Genomic DNA, 24599 nt, shown 5'->3' on the forward strand with positions numbered 1-24599 from the left:
CTGATCATCTATGTGTAGACAGCAATTAGTAAGGTTAAATTTCCCACAGACCCCTCCTTCAGCTGCTAGCAAGTAGTCGAGAGCCAATCTATTTTGATAGACAGCATTTCTCATCTGAGTTTCTTGCTGGGTCAGAATAGTCAAGGCTCTGCCGATCTTATTAGTGATTATTTCTAAGACAGCTTGTAACCGTATGATTCAGTTCAGCATGTAAATGGGGGTCCCATATCACCGCGAGCCATCTTGTGCCCAAGTAGCGGGCCCATAATATTATATGATTCTCTCAGGGGGCCATTCATTATCTTTCCAATTTCCTATAGCTATGCTTCTCTTTTTGTGGGAAGCATAGACAGGGAAGCCCAGGAGTTTGCCTGTCTTTATGGGCAGTAGGAAGAAAGATGGTTTAATAGTGCCAATAACACAACTATCTGCCCACTGGTAGGGTAATTTGGTGTAAGCTCTATGCCCACATATCCAGTATAATCCAGTGGGGGCTGCCCAGTCCCAGTGGGACTCTGGGTGGGTTCACATGGTTTGCAACTTTGGGAATTTACTAAATGGATTTTTCTTAGTGTGGTTTGAACTCCACTAGGTGGCTGTTTTTGTAGTAATATTATACAGTTTTTGCTCAAGGCAGTTGAGTCTTCCCACAGGAAGGTTGAAGTCCTTCCCCACTCTTGCTATACAGTATTGTCTAATAATTGAGGCTTTTAGGACCCAGAAGTTATCAGGGTGATTCTTTTGAACTGGGGATTCATCAGGAACTGGGTCTGTAGGTACTAATTCTCAGGCTTCCCATGGCCATTGATCTCCCATTATAGTTCCTCCACATACATAACATGAAGTGAAACTGAGAGACTAGGCTACATGCTCAGCTAATTGTAAAAACAAATTTCTTGTTTTTCCTGGAATTTCTGGTACTGACACATTCAGTTAATCGTAGAAGGGTTGAGATACTGGCTCAGGAGAGCGTTTATAAACTTCTCCTCAAGCCATGATATTTACTCGAGGATCCAGTCCAGCCCCCTCAATTCCTAGGGTTACACGCTCCCCTTTTTTCCAGTGAGGATCAAGGGGGTTGGTTATTACTAGTTCTAAGGGGTTACACTGACCACTTGTACAGGAAGGGCCACTTTTCCCTTTCTGAAGGTGGACGGGATCCTTTTCATTTTTTATCCAAGTAGCCGAAATGACACAAGACCAGTATGCACGTTCATTTCCATACAGTCCTAATTTATGACAAATGTACTTTTTTTTTTTTTTTGCCATATAGCCTTTTTCCTAATTAAGAGAACCACATCCTATTCCTAACTTATTACTATTAATGACAACACAGGCATCAAACTTCAAGGTGACTTGTTTGGGCACCCCTTTTTCTTTTGTTTTGGCTAACACTTTACTCATATCGTTTATGAGCCCCCACCAGGTTTCAGTCCTTAATCTTAAAAACTGTGGTCATGGGAGGCTCAGATGGGTCATAACACACATCAGGTTGGTCATTTCCTGGGCTACATACCTTGTATAGAATAGCATTATACAAACAAGTTCTTTTTAGAGTCCTGGTATACTTATAATAACCATAAAATAATAGGACTGTAGCAACTTTTTTCCTACCTCAGTGACTTGACGTATATACTGGGAATAGTCTTCAGTCTGAGGAAGGTCAGTTGAAGTCCCTATGGTATAAGTCCAAATTTTAAGGAAAATGAGTCCCGCAATGAGTTTTCTCATGCTTTGGCCATGCGTGGACCAGTCAGCTTCCGGGTGTGACTGAAGCAGGTATTGTCATCTTCTTCAGAGTCACTTTGCAGGGGTTGGCGAAGCTGCTCTCGCCCATGTACAACTCACAGTCTACTGATGTTCAAGGATGGTCTCAGAGGTTGGGCCCACTAGAATAAACTGAGTGCAATACAACACAGTGATATTCAACTGGGCTCTCTGATACCGGGAGCAAGGTGGCAGGGTTTAGGGTGTCGCAAACTTCAATGGTTATGTGGGGATTTTCACATAGCAAGCTTTGGTACTTGGTTAATCTAGCATTTGTTAGCCAATGATGTCCTTTGGTATTCATCAAAGTTACCACAGCATGGGGGGGTCTTTATATTCAGGTTTTGCCCAAGGGTTAGTTTATCTGCTTCTTGTGCTAACAGGGCCATTGCTGCCAGGGCCCTTAGCCATGGGGGCCAGCCTTTGGAAACCCCGTCTAGTTGTTTTGAGAGATAGGCCACTGGCCTTGGCCAGGGCCCCACAGTCTGGGTTAAAACTCCAACTGCCGTGTTTTCTTTTTCTGACACATAGAGTGTAAAGGCTTTTGTCAGGTCGGGTAGCCTCAGGGCTGGGGCCAACAGGAGTTTTTCTTTTAACTCATGAAAAGCTCATTGCTGTTGGTTGTAATAGATGTAGTTTATCCAATTTACATTTTTATTAACTGCCACCCACCAAAATATTGACTCAAATCCTGCAGCTATTTGATTTCAAGCTTTAAATTGATCTGGTATTCCCCGTGGGACTCCAATTGTGTCTAAATAGACGTGAGAGTCAAAAAACCCATAAGGGCCTTCTCTCGCTTTACAATGTCTTATTTTTCTTCCCTCTGGTTGATGAAATGCCAGGGTGAAAGGGATAGCCAATTGAACTAAAGTACAAGTGCCACTCCAGTTATTCGGCAGAGTGCCCAGTAAAGGTCCACACACAATCACAATACCACCACACATCCTGAAGATCACGTTCTCATCAAAGGGTGAAAAGAAAGGAAACTCGATCCAGCCTAGGAAGGACCCTACCTTGTGCTGCTAAACACCGAGACTGCTGTTCATACAGTGAAAAAAGGATGGACTAATCACAACCAAGTCAAGAAAGTGCCACCCCCTCCAGAGTCATGGGCCATAGTCCCAGGGGAAAACCTTACCAAACTAAAGCTAACAAAAATTTAAGTCTTAATCTATTCTATTACTCTTTCTTCTTACCTCGCTCTTTTGCTGACCATCTGGTTATTAACATAACCAAGTCAATTTTGCCTCAAACTATTGCATTTAATGCTTGCCTTGTTATACCCTGTGGGGACTTGCCCAGTCAAAGACAGCTCTCTACTTCAGAAAAGTACCTCTGTCCCTCCTGACTCTCCTCAGACTGGGCATTAGTAAATTAGGACCATTTAATCTGGGGAAATTTTGATTAAGACTCCAGTGTCAACCAGGAGTCTTGCTCCCCTATGTAGAGCTTTTATGCCGTAGTTGGTCCAACATTCTGTGGACCACTAAAGAGCAAGGATGGGCTGCCCCAACCGGTTTTTGTAATTTCCTAAAATCATACATTCATTTTACTAGAGGATGATAGAAGTTAAAGACTTAAAACAAACTTTGGCAATTAAGACAGGATACCAAGATGCAAATGCCTGGTTGGAATGGATCAAATATTCCATCTGCACGTTAAACAAAAGCAATTGTTATGCTTGTGCACATGGCAGGCCAGAGGCCCAGATTGTCCTCTTTCCACTAAGCAGCTGATCCTCCAGTCGACCACACGTGGGCTGCATGGTAGCTCTTATCCAGGATTCTACAGCCTGGAGTAGTAAGTCATGCCAAGCTCTCTCTGCTATATCCCAAAGTCCGGTACCCTGCGGGTCAGCCCCCGAGGGCCATCCAGCTTCCGTCTCCCAACACTAAGTTCACTTCGTGTCTCTCACAACAGGGAAGAAACTTAGCGTTCCTTGGAGACCTGAAGGGATGCAGTGAGCTTAAGAATTTTCAAGAGCTTATCAATCAGTCAGCCCTTGTTCATCCCCGAGCGGATAGGCTGGTGCTGGTTTACCGGAAATTCTAGGGGTGGTACATGTGCTAAAAGACTTTTAGTTTTGAGGGAAAGGAAAGTGGAAGATAAACCAAGTATATAATTTCTAAGAAGTTGACCTTTTGTTTTAAATGTGGGGACATCAGCAGTGGACTTTATAGTTCTTGGTGCCTTTCCACTGAGAAATTTCCTTTAGCACCTATTTTTATTAGTTTTTAGACCAAAGAAGCCAAATACCATTTTATATTTGACAATGCTTCCTGTATGATTTTTATACCAGATAAGCTAAATTTCACCTTTATATTAGTGTGTTATTAATGTTAAACTTAGTTTTAATAAAACTTTGTATACATATTTATTGAATTTTTCATGTTGGACCATCAGGTAAGATTTTTATAGACTCACTTTTTATAATCTTTGTTAAAGAGCAGGTTAGTGCTTTAAGAAAAACCCATTGTGTTTTTACTTTAATGTCCAATTCACAGAAAAACTGGATGTTACCCCTTTACCTTTGGCTAATATGTTTACACACAGAATTTCCTTTACAATTAACATTTTAAAACTTGCTTAAACCTTCAAAATAGTTTTTTTAACCTTTTAATGTATGTAACAACTTACATTCTTTTGCCTCCTTATAATCCTTTTACCAAAGTTATATTTTACTTTCCTTATACACCTTGCACATAAACTGTTTATTTCAATAGTTTTACATTCAGGAGGCCTAGTTACTTTTAAATTATACAACTTTTCTTGCATAAATTCTTTTTTTTTATAACATATTTCTCTTTCACAACTTTTGCAGACAATTCTTAGCAATGCCTGAACTTTCTGACTTATTACAAACATTTCTTTCTTTAAACAACCAGTTAATTTATTTCAGGACAAGAATTTACCATATAACACTTTTTTTACATAAATTCTGCCCCTCCTTTTCTTCTTTTTTTTTTTTTCAGAGATAACCATTCTTTTCCAAAGCGAACTTGCTTTATGACTGTGGACTAGACTGTCTAAGGCCACAAGATTATAATTTACTATAATACATGTTACAATGTTAGCTTTTAGCAAACTTTACTTTTGTTGAAAACCTTGCAAGTTTGGGATTTTAATTATCCTTTGCTATTAATAAGACCTTGTTTTGTCCAAATTAACTTAGAATTGGTATAGATGGCTTTTTTTTTTTTTTTCCTTCAATTACCCGGGAGGAACCATTGATGGTCCTGTCCTGTAGGGAATTCTGGTCTGGTCGGACCTTTGTATGGTAATTAAGACTTAGATGCCCTGTTAGGAAAACTTCTGGGTTAAGGGATTTTTTTCGTGGTTAATGTTAAAACATCCTTTTTTTTTTTTTTTTTTTTCCTTAGGATACTTCTGAACTGGTGAGGTATGCTCACACTGAGGTTTCCTCTAAAAGTTATTTTTTTACTTTCTTCTGTTAGCAAAGCCATTGCCGCTACAGACTGAATGCATCTGGGCCATTCGTGGGTTACTGGGTTAAAGATTTTTGATAGGAAGGCTACGGGTTATCAGTGGCCTCTGTGCTTTCGGGATATGCCCTTGTTTACACTGACAACAAAGTGGTATTGGAGTGTTATAGGGTTACAGAGAATACCTTCAATTATCAATTATAGGTTTTAAATTTACCCTGGCTTTTAAAGGAATAGGGCACACTTTTTTTTAACTACTTGTATATTTCTCTGTCTTTGACATTGTCTCTCTTTTTGACTTTCCTTTTGCCTCTGTCTCTTCCTCTCTCTCTCTTTCTCCTTGACTCCCTCTTTGTCTCTCTGTCTCTTCCTCTCTCTCTTCTTCTCTCTCTTTGCCTCTTTTCCTGTCTCTTTCTTCTCTGTCTCTTTGCTGGTCTTTCCTTGCCTCTGCCAGCTGCTTATGCTGCTGTTCTCTCAACCACCGTGGGGGTAGGGAGGGGGTCTAAAACCAGCTGTAACCAAGTGTCTATGTACGGGAACTGGTCTGGGCACCCTGGCTTACAGGTTACCTTGTGCCATACCTTTGAAACAAGGGACCAGTCCATGCTTCCTTCTGATGGCCAACCCACCTCTAATGCTGGCCAGTCTATTTCACACAAAGTCCTAAGTTTTCCTGGTGTCATAGTAACACCGTAATCTCCCTTAAATCCTTTCTTGAAATTTTTCAACATAGTTCCTAGTGGGGTGGGCTTACTTTGTGCCTGACCCATGCTTCCTCAAGACAAAACACCACGCTCACACCGCACGCACACCACAAAAAGAACGGGTAAAAAGGGCACACACACACTTTTACAGTTTACACCAAACCAGAATCAAAACCAAAATCAGAGTATCAAGAAATCCAAGCCAGGTCAAAACCAAAACCAAAGTATCAAGCAATCCAAGTCAAGTCAAAAACAAAAAACCAAACTGCCAGTACAGGCATGCCATGGGTGATCAGGCCACGCTTCCACTCAAATGGAGTAGGCAATTTCCAAAGACTAGTCTTACCAAGTTTCAGATGTCTGGACTCCAAGTGCCAGTTCCTTCCCGGCGTTCAGCCACTGCGTTGATCCTCCACAGGGGCCTGCCACGCACTGCTCTGGTGAGGCGTTCCACTGGGACAATTGCCTACCCAGGAGCACTCTCAGGATCTGCGTTGCTCAAGCTGGCCGGAGTCCCCCACAGAGATGCTCCATGGGGTAGGCCTAAACTGCCTAAGGGGCTGCCTCGACCGTCTGTTAATCACCTCACTTCCTGGTCAGGGAACCAAGAAATGTAGCAGGACAAGCCACAGACAAAACCCCTCAGACACTGAGTTAAAGAAGGAAGGGCTTTATTCGGCCAGGAGCTTCGGGAAGACTCACATCTCCAACAACTGAGCTCCTCTAGTGAGCAATTCCTGTCCTTTTTAAGGGCTCACAACTCTAAGGGGGTCCCTGTGAGAGGGTCGTGATCAATTGAGCAAGCAGGGGGTATGTGGCTGGGGGCTGGATGCACTGGTAATTAGAATGGAACAGAACAGGACAGGGATCTTTACAGTGCTTTTCTTATGCAAATAACCGATTAGGTCAGGGGTCAAGCTTTAACTACCAGGCCTAGGGTGTGGCGCCAGGCTGTCCGCTTGTGGATTTCATTTCTGCCTTTTACTTTTTACTACTTCTTTCTTTGGAGGCAGAAATTGGGCATAAGACAATATGAGGGGTGGTCTCCTCCCTTAACATCATAGTAATTGGGGGAATCTTGGAAAGGATTTTCTCTAAAACAGAAACAACACAAGGATGCCAAATTTTTCCACTCTCATTTAATGTATTAGGGTATGTCCTAGCCAGAGCAATCAGGAAAGAAAAATAAATAAAAGGAATCCAAATTTAAAAAGAGGAAGTTTAATTATCCCTGTTTGCTGATGATAGAATCATATATCTAGAAAAACCTAGACTCCGCCAAAGAACTCTGATTTGATGAACGAATTCAATAAAGTTGAAGAATACAAAAATATTATTGTACAAATATCAGTAGTGTTTCTATATACCAATAATGACCTTGCAAAGAAAGAAATCAAGAAGGCAATCCCATTTACAATAGCTACAAAAAAAACCCTAGCAATAAATTTAACCAAGGAGGTGAAAGATTTCTACAAGGAGGTGAAAGATTTCTACAAGGAAAATTACAAAACACTGCTGGAATAAATTGTAGATGACACAAACAAATGGAAGAATATCACATGTTCATAAATTGAAATAATTAATATAAATAAAGTGACTCATATGGTTTGGTTCCATGTCCCCAACCAAATCTCATGTTGAATTGTAATTCCCAATGTTGGGGGAGGGACCTTGTGGGAGGTAATTGGATCAGGGGGGTGGATTTCCCCCATGCTGTTCTTGTGACTGTGAGTTCTCAGGAGATCTGATGGTTTAAAAGTGTGTGGCATTTCCCCCTTGCTTGCTCTTGTTCCACCACGGTAAAGACGTGCTTGCTTCCCCTTCACCTTCTGGCATGATTGTTACTGAGGCCTCCCATTCATGCTTCCTGCAAAGTGGAACTGTGAGTTTTTAAACCTCTTTTCTTTGTAAATTACAGTCTCAGGTAGTTCTTTATAGCAGTGTGAGAACAGACTAATAGAATGACCATAACTGCCTAATCTACAGATTCAATGCAATTCCCATCAAAATACCAGTGTCGCTTTTCACAGAATTAGAAAAAACAACCATAAGATTCATATGGAACCAAAACAAAGCCCAAGTAACCAAAGCAATCTTAAGCAAAAAGATCACAGCTGGAAGCATCACTTTATTTGCCTTCAAATAATATTACAACGCTCTAGTAAGCAAAATAACATGATAGTGATATAAAAATAGTATACAGATTAATATAAAAGAATAGTGAATCCAGAAATAAAGCCACATATTTACAGCCAACTGATTTTTGACAAAACCAACAACACATACAGTGGGGGAAAGAAGACCCGCTTTAATAAATGGCTTAAAAATTGAATATCTATTGCAGAAAAATGAAACTGAATCCTTATCTCTCACCACATACAAAAACCATCTCAAGATGGATTAAAACTTACATGTAAGACCCAATACTTTAAAAATGTTAGAAGGAAACCTAGAGTAAACTCTTCTGGACATTGATCTAGGCACCAAATTAATGATTAAGAACTCAAAAGCACAGGCAACAGAAGAAAAAATAGACAAATGGGACTTAATTAAACTAAAAAGCTTCTTCGCAGCAAAGGAAACAATCAACATAGAGAAGAGACAACCTGTTATATGGGAGAAAATATTTTCAAACTATCAATCCAACAGAGGACTAATATCCAGAATATACAAGGAACTCAAACAATAAAATCAAATAATCCCATGTGGGACAAAAGACATGAACAGACATTTTTCAAAAGAGACATACAAATGGCCAACAGGTATATGAAAAAATGCTCATCATTAATCATCAGGGAAATGCAAATCAAAACCACAATGATATTTCATTTTACCCCAGCTAGAATGGCCATTATTAAAAAGACAAAAAAGAGCAGATGTTGGTGAGGATATGGAGAAAAGAGAACTCATATACTGTTGCTCGGAATGGATATTAGTACAGCCTTTACGGAAAACAGTATGGTTTTTCAAAGAACTAAAAGAACTATCATTCAATCCAGCAATACCACTGCTAGGTATCTACTGAAAGGAAAAAAATCAATATATCAAAAACATACTTGCTCTTGCATGTTTATCACACCACTATTCATAGCAAAGGGGAATCAACCTAAGTGTCTATCAATAGATAAATGAGTAAGAAAATGTGGTGTATATACATAATGGAATCCTATTCAACCATAAAAAAGAATACAATCAAGTATTTTGCAGCCATACAGATGAAACTGAAGGTCATTATCTTTGCTATCTTCTAGACAAAAGGTCTTGCTATGTCACCCAGGCTGGAGTGTCTTGGCACAATTATAGCACACTGCAGCCTTGAAATCCTGGGCTGAAGTAATCCCTCCTCCTCAGCCTTCCAACTAGCCAGGACTACAGGTTCATGCCACAGCTCCAGCTATTTATTTTTATTTTTATTTGTAAAGAGAAGGTCTTGAAATTATGCGCAGCCTGGTCTTGAAATTTTGGCATCAAGCAATCTGGCTGCGTTGGCCTTCTAAATTCCTGGGATTACAGGCACAAGCCACCACACTCATCCTGGAAATCATTATCTTAAGTGAAACGAGCCAGGCACAGAAAGACAAATATTACCTGTTATCACTCCTAAGTGGGTGCTACAAAATGTGTTCACATGGACATAGACAGATAATGGACATAGATAGATAATGTAGACTTGAAAGGTGAGGGAGTGGGAGTAGGGAGAATGATGAGAAATTATTTAATGGCTACAGCATACATTATTTAGGTGACAAATACCCTAAAAGCCCTGACTTGACCACCATGCAACCTATGTATGTAACAAAATAGCATATGCGCCTGATAAATGTATTTTTTAAAAAAAATCAGTGAGTCTCTATGTTTTACTATCTCATGACCAAAATTCTAAAATGAAAGTTGAAAGTATTTTTATATGAGCATATATATGAAAGTATTTTTATATGTGTATATATACATTTAGATGTGTTTACACATATGTACATGTACTGTGTTATATGTTACATGTACATAATAAAATCTGGTATAATTAGCTTGACATCCCTCAAAATATTTTATTTAGATATATTGGGTGCACATATAAAATCAATAGTATACTAATTATCCCATTCAATAAAATTATAGAAACAGTCTTGCTCTTTCACCTAGAATGGAGTACAGTGGCATAATCATAGCTCACTGCAACCTTGAAATTCTGGGCCCTTGAAATTCTTTCTGCCACAGCCTCCCAAGTAGCTAGGATTATAGGCACCTGGCACCCCAACTTTTTTTTTTTTTTTAGTTCACAAGTAAATCTTGATAAATTGGTTTAAAAATGGTTGAAAAAATAAAATTAGAAATATCTTCAAAAGTGTCAACATACATTCTCACTTGAGTTTACTGGTCACACAGTTTTATATATGCCTCTGCTAGATCTTTTAATGTAATAAGGTGATAAAGCCTAAAACAACATAATCTTTAACCCTTTGATAAGATTAATTTAATATTGTTGCTTTAATAAAATCAGCCGTGTCTCCTGACTTATTGACAGGATTTATACAATAGGACTTATTGACCTATGTATTTAACCTTAAAGTTCTTACTTAGGGAAATTCCTGATATTAACAGGCAATAAAATTCGTTAATAAAAACCTAATAACTAGCTATGTCTAGTATCTCAATTTTCATAGGTAATCAAGGTATAATTGTTAAAAAATAAATAAATTAGGTAATTGCAAACAGAGTAAGCATTTACAAATAAATTTTCATGTAATTTAAAATCTTAAAGTTATGTTAAATTAAATAATACTCATTAAATGTCTGAGCCATATCCAAATAAGAAAAAAACAGAAACAAATTGTTAAGTACACATAAGTTCATTCTTGGCTTTTTAAATTTTATGGAAAGACTAAATACATTTGTGTCTATTAATCAAAATATGAATTTAGAAGGAAATAATTTTGTGTAAAAAATTGTATGTGGTAAAATTTTACCTAATTTAAAATTGTTGTTCCATAATTTTTTTAAAAAGAAAAATTACAGAAATAAGACTTGGGGGGTGGGGGTTGAAAAGTGGTGAAAGAACTAAACAAGTAGAAGAGGATTTCTAAAGCACTGGTCTCATGAAAAAAGTTTCATGTGTGACTGGGTCCACTGAGATTGAAAAGAAATTGTTTATACGATATTCTAAAAATTAAATGTTGCTGTCAGGGATGACATGATACAGGACCAGAGTCTGTGTAAACAACAAAGTTTTCTTAAAGTATTGATACACGCTTTTAAAAATTGCAAGAGGTTTTAAGTTTAATTCAAAAATCTGTTTAACAGCCATTTTGTACACTACAGACAGATTCTGTTCCTGCCACTTTTTCCTGAGATCTCTTTAATATCCCTAGTTTCTGGTTTAAAGAAAGTAAGACTGCTGCTGGGTGCAGTGGCTCATGCCTGTAATGCCAGCACTTTGGGAGGCCAAGGCAGGAGGTTTGCCTGAGCCCAGGAGTTCAAGACCAGCCTGGGCAACATAGTGAGATCTTGTCTCAAATTAAAAAAAAAAAAAAAAAAAAATTAGCCAGGCATGGTGTTGTGTGCCTGTGGTCCCAGCTACTCAGCAGGCTGAGGTGGGAGGACACCTTGAGCCCAGGAAGTTGTGTTTATTTCCCAATGAATCATGTTCTCACCATTGCAGTCTGAGTGAGAGATGGAGAGTGAGACCCTGTCCCCGCCCCCCAAAAAGCTATCTTCTTTATTTAAAATGGTATTTTTAATTTTTAATTTTTGTGAGTAGTACATAGTAGGTGTATGTATTTATGGGGTACATGAAAACTTTTGATACAAGCATGCAATGTGTAATGAGCAAATCATAAAAATGGATGTATACATCCTCTCAAGCATTTATCCTTTGTGTTGCAAAGAATCCAATTATACCCTTTTAGTTATTTTTAAATGGTCAATTATTATTTACTACAGTCGCCCGATTATGCAATCAAATACTAGATCTTAATCATACTATTTTTTTTCTTTTGTACTCATTACCCATTGCAATTTCCTCCCCAACCCAACAAGTGCCCTTCCTACCCTCTGGTAATCATTCTTCTACTCTGTATGTCTATGAGTTCAATTGTTTTGATTTTTAGATCCCACAAATAAGTGAGAACATGTGATGTTTGTCTTTCTGTGCTTTGCTTATTCACTTCAAATAGTGATCTCCAGTTCCTTCCATGTTGGTGCAAATGACTAGATCTCATTCTTTTTTATGGCTGAATAGTACTCCATTTTGTATATGTACCCCATTTTGTTTATCCATTCATCTGGTGATAGACACTAAGGTTGCTCCCAAATCTTGGCTATTGTGAACAGTGCTGCAACAAGCACAGGAATGCAGCTATCTCTTTGACATATTCATTTTCTTTCTTTAGGGTACATACCCAGCAGTGAAATTGCTGGATCATATGGTAGCTCCATTTTCAGTTTTTTTGAGGAACCTCCAAACTGTTTTCCATAGTGGTTGTATTAATTTCTCACCAACAGTATACATGGTTCCATTTTCTCCAGATCTACACCAGCACTTGTTATTACCTGTCTTTTGAATATAAGCCATTTTAACTGGGGTGAGATAACTCACTAAAGTTTTGATTTGCATTTCTCTAATGATCAATGATGTTGAACACCTTTTCATGTTTTTCATTTGCATGTCTTCTTCGAAGAAATGTTTATTCAGATATTTTGCCCATTTTTTGGTCAGGTTATTGGATTTTTTTCCTATAGAGTTGTTGGAGCTTTTCATATATTCTGGTTATTAATCCTTTGTCAAATGGGTAGCTTGTAAATATTTTCTCTCATTCTGTGGGTTCTCTCTTCAATTTTTTGTTTGTTTCCTTGGCTGTGCAGAAGCTTTTTAACTTGATGAGATCCCATTTGTCCATTTGTGCTTTGGTTGCCTGTCGTTGTGGAGAATTACTTAAGAAATTTTTGCTGAGAACAATGTCCTGGAGATTTTCCCCAATGACTTCTGGTAGTAGTTTCATAGTTTGAGATCTTTACGTTTTTAATCCATTTTGATTTTTGTATACAATGAGAGATAGGGATCTAGTTTCATTCTTGTGCATATGGATATCCAGTTTTTACAGCACCATTTATCAAAGAAGAGACTGTCTTTTCCTCAGCGTATGTTCTTGGCACTTCTATTGAAAATGAGTTCACTATAGGAGTGTGAATGTTTCTAGATTCTCTATTCTGTTCCATTGGTCTGTGTCTGTTTTTATACCAGCATTAAGCTGGTTTGGTTAGTATAGCTCTGTAGTATAATTTGAAGTCAGGTAATATGAATTCTCCAGGTTTGTTCTTTTTGCCTAGGATAGCTTTGGCTATTCTGGGTCTTTTGTGGTTACATAGAAATTTTAAGATTGTTTTATCTATTTCATTGAAAAATAACATTGGTATTTTGATAGGGATTGCACTGAATCTGTAGATTGCTTTGGGTAGTATGGAATTTTACACAATATTGACTCTTCCAATTCATAAACATAGACTATCCATTTTCTGGTGTCCTTTTCAATTTCTTTCATCAGTGTTTTATAATTCTCATTACAGAGATTGTTGATTGCTTTAAATTAATTCCTAGGTATTTAATTTTATTTGTGGCTATTATAAATAAGATTACTTCTTTTTTAGATTGTTCACATTGGCATAAAGAAATGCTACTGACTTCTGGATGTTAATTTTGTATCCTGCAACTTTACTGAATTTGTTTATAAGTTCTAATTTCTTTTGTGGAGTTTTTCCTTTTTTTCATTTTTTTTCCTTTTTTGAGATAAGGTCTCATTCTGTTGCCCAGGCTGGAATGCAGTGACAGGATCTCAGCTCACTGTAGCCTCGACCTCCTGGGCTCATATGATCCTTCTGTCTCAGGCTCTCATGTAGCTGGGACTACAGGCACATGTCACTATGCCTGGCTAAGAGTCTTCAGGTTTTTCCAAATAAAAGATAATATCATCTGCAAACAAGGATAATCTGACTTCTTCCTTTCCAATTTGGATGCCCTTTATTTCTCTCTCTTGTCTGATTGCTCTATCTAAGTCTTTCAGTACTATGTCGAATAACAGTGGTGATAGTGGGCATCCCTGTTGTGTTCCAGGTCCTAGAGGAAAGGCTTTCAGTTTTTCCTCATTCAGTATGACACTAGCTGGGGTCTGTCATATATGGTTTGTATTATGTTGAGGTATGATCCTTCTATCCTCAGTTTTTTTAGGATTTTTATCATGAAGGGATGAAAACATCATTTTGACATCAATTGAAATGATCATATGGATTTTGTCCTTTCTTCTGTTGATATGATGCATCGCAATGATTGATTTGCATATGTTGAATCACCCTTGCATCCCTGGAATAAATCCCACTTGGTCGTGATGAATGAGCTTTCTAATGTATTGTTGAATTTGCTTTGCTAGTAGTTTGCTGAGGATTTTCGCATCAATATTCATTAGAGATATTGGCTTGTGTTTTTTTTTAATTTTTTTGATGTATCTTTGTCTAGTTTTGCTATCAATGTAATACTGGTCTTGTAGAATAAGTTAGGAAGTGTCCCCTCCTCATTTTTTTTTTTGAATTGTTTAAATAGGATTGGTATTAATTCTTCTTTAAATGTTTGGTACAGCTCTGCAGTAAAGTCATCAGGTCCCAAGCTTTTCTTTACTGAGGGACTTTATTATGGCTTCCATCTTGCTACTTGTTATTGGTCTGTTCAGGTTTTGGATTTCGTACTGGTTTAACATTGGAAGGTTGTATGTGTCTAGGAAATTGTCCATTTCTTCTAGATTTTCCAATTTATTGGCGTATAGTTACTCATAGTAGCCACTAGTAATCCTTTTAATGTCTGTAGTAGTCATAATGTCTCCCTTTTCATCTCTGATTTTATTTATTTGGATCTTCTCTTTTTCTTAGTCCAGCTAAAGGTCAATTTTGTTTAACTTCTCAAACTGCAAACTTTTTATTTCATTAATCTTTTGCATTGTTTTCTTCATTTCAAATTTATTTCTGCTGTCATCTTTAGTATTTCCTTTATTTACTGATTTTGGTTTTGGTTTACTCTTGCTTTTCTAGTTCAAGCACACTGTTAGATTTTTTTTTTTTTAGCTACAAACTTCTTTCATAATACTGCTTTTGCTGTATTTCATAGGTTTTGGTAGATGGTGTCTTCATTATCATCTGTTTCAAGGAATTCTTCAACTTTTTTTCGGTTTCTTCATTGACCCACTGATTCTTCAGAAGCATATTGTTTAATTTTAATGTATTTGTATGGTTTTCAGAATTCCTTGTTATTGATTTCTAGTTTTATCCCATTGTGGTCAGAGTAGATGTTTGATATTATTTCCATTTTTTGAATATTTTAAAACTTGATTTATGACCTAACATATGGTCTATCCTTGAGAACGATCTATGTGCTGAAGAGTTTATATTCCATAGCCATTGGGTGAAAAGTTTTGTAAATATCTATTAGATCCATTTGGTCTATAGTGCAGATTGAGTTTTTTTGTTAATATCTGTCTAAAAGATTTGCCTAATGCTGAAAGTGGGGTGAAGTCTCCAGCTATTATTGTATTAGGGTCTATCTCTTTCTTTACCTCTAATAATATTTGCTTCATATATCTGGGTGCTCCAGGGTTGACTGCACATATACTTAAAATTGTTATATATTCTTGCTAAATTGACCCTTTTATCATTATATAGCGACCTTGTCTCTTGTTACAGTTTTTGTCTAGAAATATATTTTGTCTGATATCAGTGCAGCAACTTTTGCTCTTGTTTGGTTTCCCTTGACATGGGATATATTCTTCCATCCTTTTATTTTCAGTGTACACGTGTCTTTATAGGGGAAGTGTGTTTCTTGTAGGAAACAAGTCAATGGGTTTGCTTTTAAAATTCATCTAGCCACTCTATGACTTTTGATTAAATAGTTGAATCCATTATATTCAGTGGTATTATTGGTAATTAAGAATTTACTCCTGCCATTTTATTATTTGTTTTCTGGGTTTTTGTGGTCTGTTTTCCTTCTTTTTCCTCCCTGTCTTCCTTTAGTGAGATGATTTTCTCTGATGATATGATTTAGTTTCTTGCTTTTAATTTCTTGTGTCTCCATTGTATGCATTTTGGTTTGAGGTTACTATGAGGCTTGCAAATACTTTTTAAAAACCCATTATTTTATCTGATAACACATTAATATAGTGTGCAGTGTATAGTTAACTTTTTGATTGGTTCATCATTTCACCTTCATACTTAGAATGAGTAGTTGACACATCAGTTACAGTCTTATAATATTCTGTGTTTTTATTTATACTTACTATTACAGTGATTTTTTTTTTTTTACCTTCAGGTGATTATTAGTTGCTCACTAACATCCTTTTATTTCTGATTGATGTACTTTCTTTAGCATTTCTTGTAGTACAGGTCTAGTGTTAATAAAATGTCTCAGTGTTTGTTTGTCTGGGAATGTCTTCATTTCTCCTTCATGTCTTAAGATTATTTTTGCTGGATATATTATTCTAGGGTAAAAGTCTCTTTCCTTCAGCACTTTAAATATGCCATACCACTCTCTTGGCCTGTGAAATTTCCACCGAAAAGTTTGCTGCCAGATGTGCTGGAGATCCATTATATGTTATTTGTTTCTCTTCTCTTGCTGTTTTCATGATAATTTCTTTATCCTTGTTTCTTGGGAGCTGGATTATTAAATTCCTTGAGGTGGTCTTCTTTGGGTTAAATCTGCTTGGTGTTGTATAATCTTCTTGTACTTGGACATTACTATCTTTTTCTAGGTTTGAGAATTCTCTGTTATTATCTCTTTGAATAAATGTTCTACCCCTATATCTTTCTCTACCTCCTCTTTAAGGCCAATAACTTTTAGATTTGCTTTTTTCCACCTATTTTCTAGATCCTGTAAGTGTTCTTCATTGTTTTTTATTTCTTTTTTCTTTTGTCTCCTCTACGTACTTTCAAACTGCCTGCCCTATTTTCAATAGCTTGCTCACTATTTCTTTCTTCTGCTTGATCAATTCTGCTAGTAAAAGACACTGATGCATTCTTCAATATGCCAATTGTATTTTTCAGCTCCCAAATTTCTGCTTGATTCTTTTTAACTATTTCAATTTATCAAATTTATCTAATAGAATTCTGAATTCCTGCTCTGTGTTATCCTGAATTTCTTTCAGTTTCCTCAAAAGAGCTTTTTTGAATTCTGTCTGAAAGATCACATATCTCGGTTTCTCCAGGATTGTTCCCTGGTGCCTTATTTAGTTCATTTGGTGAGGTCATGTTTCCATGGACTGTCTTTTATACTTGTAGATGTTTGTCTGTGTCTGGGCATTGAGGAGTTAGGTATTTATGTTAGTCTTCACAGTCTGGGCTTGTTTGTACCTATCCTTCTTGTGAAGGCTTCCCAGATATTTGAGAGGACTTGGGTGTTGTCATCTAAGCTGTATCTGCTTTATGAGGAACCATGAGCCCAGTAACACTGTGGTTCTTGCAGATTCGTAGACGTACTACCTTGATGGTCTTGGACAACATCTGGGAGATTTCTCTGGATTCCCAGGCAGATAATTCTTGTTCTCTTTTTTATGTTCTTTCAAATAAATATAGTATCTCTCTCTGTTCTGAGCGACTTGAAACTGGGGATGCAATAATATAAGCACCCCTGTGGCCACCACCACTATGACTGTGTTGGGTCAGACCTGAAGCCAGCACAGCACTGCATGTTTTCCAACGCCTGCAGTAACCACTCCCTGGCTACTGCCTATATTTACTCAAGGCCCTGGGACTCTAAAATCAGCAGGTGGAAAGTTAGGCCTGCACCCTTCCCTTCAGAGCAGTGAGTGCTCCCAGGCCCCATGTGGGTCCAAGAGTGCCATCTTGGAGTCAGGAAGAAGAGTCCAAAACCTTAGAAGTCTTGCTGGTGTTCTATTGTATTGTGGCTGAGCTGTCAGTGAGGGCACAAAATGCAGTCGTTCCAGTCTCCCCTCCCCTTTCCAAATGTAAAGAAGCCTCACTCTGTGGTCATCACCATCACAGGCCCATGGGGAGTATTGCCAGACCACTGTCAATGTTCCCTTTAGGTCCAAGGGCTCCTATGTCTGTTTGTGATGAATGCTGCCTGACTTGGGACTCACCTTTCAGGGCAGTGGGCTTCCCTTTGGCCCAGGAGAGGTCCAGGAATACCATTGAAGAGGCAAGTCCTGGAATTGTGTACTCCAAGAGCCCACTTGGTACAGCCCCCTGTGGTTGACCTGGTTCCTAAGGTTCAAGACAAAGTCCCCTTTACTCTTTCCTCTGCTCTTAAGCAGAAGAAGTCTCGCCCTGTAGCCACTACAGTTGGAAATGTGCTGAGACATGTTTGAAGCCAGTAAGTCTCAGAGTCCCACTGAAGTCCTTCAAAGTAGTACCTGGATATCTCTGCTTGCTATTCAGGGTCTAGGGCTCTTCGGTTAGTAGGTAATAAATGCTGCGAGGACTGGGTCCTTCCCTTCAAGGCAGCAAGTTCCTTTCTGGCCTGGGTTGTGTCTAGAAACGTTACCTGGGAGGTAGGGCCTGGAATGGGGGCCTCGGGATTCTGACCAGTGTCCTATCCTGCTGTGGCTGAGCTGGTATTCAACATGCAATAAAAAGTCCTCTTCGCTCTTCCCTCCTCTCTCATCAAGCAGAAGGAAGGGGTCTCTTTTGGAGCTGTGAGCTATGTAGCTTGGGGTTAGGGGAGAGGTAATGCCCACACTTTCTTAGCCACCCCAGCTGATGTTTCAGTAGGTTATGTGCCCCACCAGTCCACTGTCTCTGGGCCCATTTCAGCATTAGAACTCATCTAAAGGTTGAAATCATTGTGGCCTAGCCTACCTTTCGAGTTCATTTAGAGTCTCTGAGCACTTTAGAACGTGGTAGTGAGGTTTAGAGGAACTCAAGCGGTGATTCCCTTCTGGCTAGGTCTGGTTTAAATACTCCCACTATGGCAGGCATCAGATGAGTTTGGACTGGCTTTCCTTTCTGCTCTAACTTGACAGCACTGAGTTCAACACCTCACAACTGCCATGCTCTCCCTTCCCCCAGAACACGGAAACTCTCTCAGCACCATGCTGCTGCTGCCAGGGTGTGAGGGAGGGGTGACATTAGCACTTCAATACTTTTTTTCTATCTCTTCAGTGCTTCTTTCAGTGACAGAAAGGTAAAACCAGGTATTGTTAGTGCTCACCTGATTTTTTTATTCTTGTCACGGTGTTATTCTTTGTGTGTCCATAGTTGTTAAATTTATGTCCTTGGGAGAGGAAAATGATAGGTGGAGCCTTTTATTCCACCATCTTGCTTTGCCCCCTAATTTCATTTGTTAAGGTAAAGTTTTACTTTTCAAATTTCTCAGATTTATACCTCAGAGGTACAACTTTTGCTGTACCTCACTGCACGTGATTTGCAGGTCACACATCATGACATTCACCTTTTTATCCCCTTGAGAATGCCTGTTATGAAAACTCTCCTTCAACTTTTTTGTCAGCCCCTCTTTTTTCTCTAGTTCTAACCTGCTGTTATGGCCTAACACTAAAATGTTTACCTTGCAGGCCTAAAAAAGCACTTTCCCTCCCGTAAAATTTGACTCTGTATTCTTGGCTTTTTTGATTTACCTGAATTATTCCACTCATAACCTTGGAAACATTATCCTTGTGTCTAATTAAATTCATCAGGTTCAACTTCCAGTTCATCTAAATGAGCTTCCATTAAGAAGAAAAAGTCACAGGGCTGATGGTTTTACTTTGGCTTTTTGTTAGTTGGCCTAAGAATCAAAGGCTTTTTGTTTTATCAAGAAAATTTGCTGTGTTGACTTTATTAGGTTTTTGATTACTGAGGATAATTGAGCTTTAAAAGGATTAAGGTTTTTATATCCGTGTAACTCTCTGTGTTGCATCTGAAGTCTTTTGATGATCACTTTGGTTAAATGAGTATTATTTTATAGTGGCCTGCAATTCTGTTTTGATCAAATGCTTTGAGCGCTTTAACATCTTTGACAAACTTACTCAAGATCAAATCCTTAATTAAGTCTTGTTGACCTAGAATTAACTTTAGGATTTTCCATTCAGACCCCTGGAAAGCAACAAAAGATATTTTTTTCATTTTGTAGAGACATTAAATGATTAAGCTTATTTGGAAAATTGTGTAAGAAATGTTGTTGAAGGATAAGCAATATTAGATCTTCTCTTAGTTGCATTTATAAATGTACTATTAATGCAAATGTTTCAAAAATTATATAAATTCATAGAAATATGTTATCAATCATAATTCTAGTTGTTACCTAAAAATGCTATATGTAATAGAACTAACTAAATTTTCTCATCAATTACAACCTTTCATCAGATTTTTAACCACGGCCATTCCAAGTTTTTAGAATCCACAGTTATCATTTTGAATTATTCTGTAAAAACATTTACAATCAAATTCATGAACAAGGGATGGTCATGGTGGCTCACACTTGAAAAGTTATCATTTTGGGAGGCTGAGACGAGAGGATTGCTTGAGCTCAGGGGTTCAAGGCCAGCCTGGGAACCATCACGAGACCTTGTCTCTACAAAAAGCAAAAAAATAATTAGCTGGCTATGGTGGTACTTGCCTCTAGTCCTGATTACTTGGGAGGGTGATGCAGGAAGATCACTTGAGCCCAGGAGTTGGAGGCTGCAGTGAGCTGTGATCCTGTCACTGCACTCCAGCCTGGATGACAGAGCTGAAATAAACTAATTAATAAAATTAAATATCAAATTAATGGAAAAAACTCCAACAAGTACTCTTTTTTTTTTTCAGATGGAGTTTTGCTCTTGTTGCCCAGGCTGGAGTGCAATGGCGCAATCTCGGCTCACTGGAACCTCCGCCTTTTGGGTTCCAGTGATTCTCCTGCCTCAGCCTCCCAAGTAGGTGGGATTACAGGCGTCTGCCACAATGCCCAGGAAATTTTTTTTTTTTTTTTTGTATTTTTAGTAGAGACGGGGTTTAGTAGAGATGGGGTTTTTTAGTTCAAGATGAGGCTGGTCTTGAACTTCTGAACTCAGGTGATCCACCTGCCTTGGGCTCCCAAAGTGCTGGGATTACAGGTGTGAACCACCATGCCTGGCCCACAAGAACTCTTAAATACAGGTTTCTGATAACTTTAATATCAATGGACTAAATGAAAACTTCCAGAACTCTAATAAACTGATGGATTCAGAAAACTACTAGTGGAGATCAAAGAGAACAAATGTTGATTATATGAGACTGAATAACTAATGAAGACAATGTTTTTATGATTTTTTACTTGATACATGTGGTTCTTAATGTTTTGTTTTTCAGATTTAGGAACATTTTCTCTCTTGAGCTATCATTTATAGCAATTTGGTAAGATATACTTTTGTAAAAGAAAAAAGAAAAAAAGGAAAATCATTTGGATTTTTCTCCTTGATTCCTCCAGAATTCAGAAAGTATTTGTTAGTATTCTTATGGTAATATGATTATTTGCATAAGCCCAATAAAAATCTGTCTTCTTTATAGCAGAATACAATTTAAAAGCATGGTTATTACCAAGGCTTTGACTGAAATGACATATTTGAAAATATGCATAAAATGCCTGACTTAAGGGTTCCCAGCCTTATAGTGAGTAAATAAAAACTGTCACTTCCCAGCAGGTCCAGGAATCCTAAGATTATAATAAAATCTAAAGTTGGTCTTGGTTTTGCTTTCTAGCCTCATGAGGTTTTAAAATCTGAGATTTCCTATATGATCAATGTAGAAAGAAAAGGTTGTTTCTAAAAAAGAGCTATACTACACCTGTTATTAGATTTTAACTCTGCACATTGTTTTCAAGCTCTTATTATCTACTTATACACTACACGTGGTCCTAAATTATTCTAGGTTCCTCCAATCCAACTTTTTTCCATAAAACTCCTAAGGCAGGAACTACTTCGTTTCTAAGGCCTGTAAGCTAAAACTAGATAAATTTTAAGGAACAAATCTTGTGCCTGATATATGAACCACACAGAAAGGTCACCAAACTCCCTGACACCAAAGCCAGAGACATTCAAACTGTAAACCAGGACAAGAAGTTGACATTTTTCATGCCATAAACGACCTTTCCTAAGACATCAGAATGACATATCATAATGAAAGTCTTACTTCCCTTAATGATATTTTTTTTTCACTTGGCAGGAAGTTGACATAATTACTTTTTTTTAGCAACCAGTAACTGCTATAGATAACTTGACAAAACCTGACCAAAGAAATCCTTTTAGTTCACCTAGTGGGCAACTTTAAAAATTTTGTTCAAATTATAATGGTGGTTCCTTTTGTAAAATTGGCATTCTCTGTTTTAATTTTACCAAGTCAGAAAATGCTACTCAGTGGCTATAACAGGTCTCACCTAGTTTCCTCTATGGTCTTTTGATTTGTTTAGTTGTTGCCCTTAAGTTTGTGCTCTTAGAGCAAAACCATTGTGCAAACTAATTTTATTATATTGTTTTTTATTTTTGTATTATGATTTTTAAGTGTTGCTCTTATTACCTGTCTAATCTTTGTAAAGCCAGCTCTCTGAAGGGGATAAAATTAGCCCATTGTTTCAAGGTGACTGCTGATGACTATGGAACTGTAAGATGAAACTTGATGCTGGACTCCAGATGAACCTACCATGAGAAAATTTTTCCTTCTGGCCTCCTTGTTACTCCAATATGACCCAGGTCACTGATATACACCCCTATGACTTACCCTCAATGAGGAAGACAACAGGACAGCTCCATCCCAGCACCGAGAGACAATTAAGCCTAACTTCACAATGGTTGATCAGTCATGCATTCATAGAAGGATCTTGATCAAAGAGGGGCGTGTGAAAGTTGATCACACACATTGGGTCATTCTTACAATATAAAACTAAAACAGTCAAGAGTTCAGGGGGAAGAAGCACTCAGGGCATTATTACATTGCTCTAAGAATGTAATTCTCTACCAGCCTGGATGATAAAACTGCCTGTTATATCCTGAAAACACTTTTATCTAACAGCTACTGAAACAACCTGCTCAAAACTCTAAGACCACTTTTACCCAAGACTATCACTCACCCATCAGAGACTGCTAGCTCCACAATACGTTACTAGTACCAATGAACTTTCTAGAAAAACTGTATGTGACATTTCTCCTTTTATAAAACCTGCAACCTCCTCTTTCTTCTTCAGAAATACTAAAGGCCACCGAATCTGTATGTATGCACCAAACTGCAATTTTTCCTCCTGTAATAAAATGTTAAATTTAGATATTCATCTCTAGATTTTTATTTTCACTTTGAAAAAGTCTTCTCACCTGATATAGCACCTGTCAATTCCTGCAGGCCCCGCAATAGCCTGCCATTCCCTCTAGGGCCTGCTGCTGACATCTTAAGCTACAAGAGGCTGCTGGACTGCCTTGGGTAAGATTGCCCTGGCTCCATGAGGACAGAAGAGAAGCAACAACTCCAAGATAAGAAGGGAAATCCAGGTACTCAGCCCACCTCAAGCTATGAGTCAATGTCCCCATAAGAGCAAGAATTCTACCTAAGATATCCTATATAAACCCACAAGTGTGCCCAGAAGCCACTGACACATTTACATGATATTTAGACTTAACGCTCATAAAGGGATGATGTATTAACAGCAACAGATACATGGATACATCTGTTCTTTTTGATGAACACTTACACACAGACATTTATATTAAAACCAAGAGCCCCAGAGAAAGGTACACTCAGCCCTGCCTTGTAGCACTATAGCAGAATAAACTCTGCTTCTAAGGCTTATACTGGTTGTGGGCCTTCCCTGGTGTTTTTTCATCCACAAAGGGTGGAGGGAGAGGCCTGGTAGGACGGGGCGGTTGGCATTTCTGGAACAACAGTGCCATCAAGAGGAAGCTTTTTGAGCATGGCTTCCAGCCCTTCGCAGTGTATCCAGAGGGGAAGGTTTCTAATAGAACAAAGGGTAGGTTTGGGGCACTCAGGGAATTCTGGGACTGGATGTGGGCACCTGACTGGGTGCCTCCAGATTCAGTGCAAAAGCGAGGGAGCCGAGCTTGCCCACCAAGAAACCCTGGGCTGCCAGGCCTGCCAGGCTCGGGAGGCGGCAGAGGCCAGGCCTTAGTGGCAGCCATGTTTGGGAACCTGGAGCTACCACAGGGCATTTTGACTGTGGATCTTTGCTCTTGGTGAAGATGTAACTTCAAGCGAAGAAAGGAGGCACTGCCCTGGAGGTCCCAGGGCCAGCCAAATAAAGGGGAGGTGGCAGTAGCCACATTGCTAGGTGTAGCTCATAAAAAGGATAGAAAATTTCCTGATTTGGGGGGTACTACAATGATACAAGAAAGAGTAGTTGAAGTACATTGCACTTCAAACTTTGTCTGGTTAATTTTTGCTCCTGTCAAAGAAAGTCTGGGTCAAAGGTCTCACAGCGTGCCATTGCACACATTTTGTCCCATGGGGCAGAGAGTGCTGACACTCATTGGGGATCAAGTTGATACCAACATTGAGCTCTGGTGTCAGAGGACCTAGGTCTGTATTGTGCTGTACTTCAGCTCAAGAACAATCCGGAAGTGCACTGTTTGTTAGGCTCTAGTTCCTTAGTATGATCTGGTTCCTCTCCTCGTGGAAGAAACCTGGGTTCAAACATGAAGATCTATGTTCTGTGTATCTGCTTGTCTTACAGCATTGGCTCAAA

General features: G+C 38.4%; 1 long non-coding RNA gene across 2 annotated transcripts in view, besides 1 other annotated feature; it reads right to left on the reverse strand.

The window, feature by feature from the left end:
* DANT2 (DXZ4 associated non-coding transcript 2, distal) overlaps positions 1-24599 on the reverse strand; it is a 128716-nt gene that overhangs the window by 76855 nt on the left and 27262 nt on the right. Inside the window, exon 3 of one of the 2 annotated variants that reach the window (NR_130730.1) lies at positions 21-1899. The exons of the other annotated variant lie outside the window; for it this stretch is intronic. This is a non-coding gene — a long non-coding RNA (DXZ4 associated non-coding transcript 2, distal). Of the gene's footprint in view, positions 1-20; positions 1900-24599 lie in introns of those variants that run through there. 2 annotated transcript variants of the gene reach the window in all.
* Positions 23470-23983: an enhancer, noted in NCBI's record as "H3K4me1 hESC enhancer chrX:115057053-115057566 (GRCh37/hg19 assembly coordinates)". NCBI's record gives its function as "activates a minimal SCP1, AML or CMV promoter by ChIP-STARR-seq in naive and primed H9 embryonic stem cells {active_cell/tissue: H9 hESC(naive and primed)}" and the evidence as "EXISTENCE:reporter gene assay evidence [ECO:0000049][PMID:30033119]".

The sequence above is a fragment of the Homo sapiens genome, chromosome X (assembly GCF_000001405.40).
Source record: "Homo sapiens chromosome X, GRCh38.p14 Primary Assembly".
Classification (NCBI taxonomy): domain Eukaryota; kingdom Metazoa; phylum Chordata; class Mammalia; order Primates; family Hominidae; genus Homo; species Homo sapiens.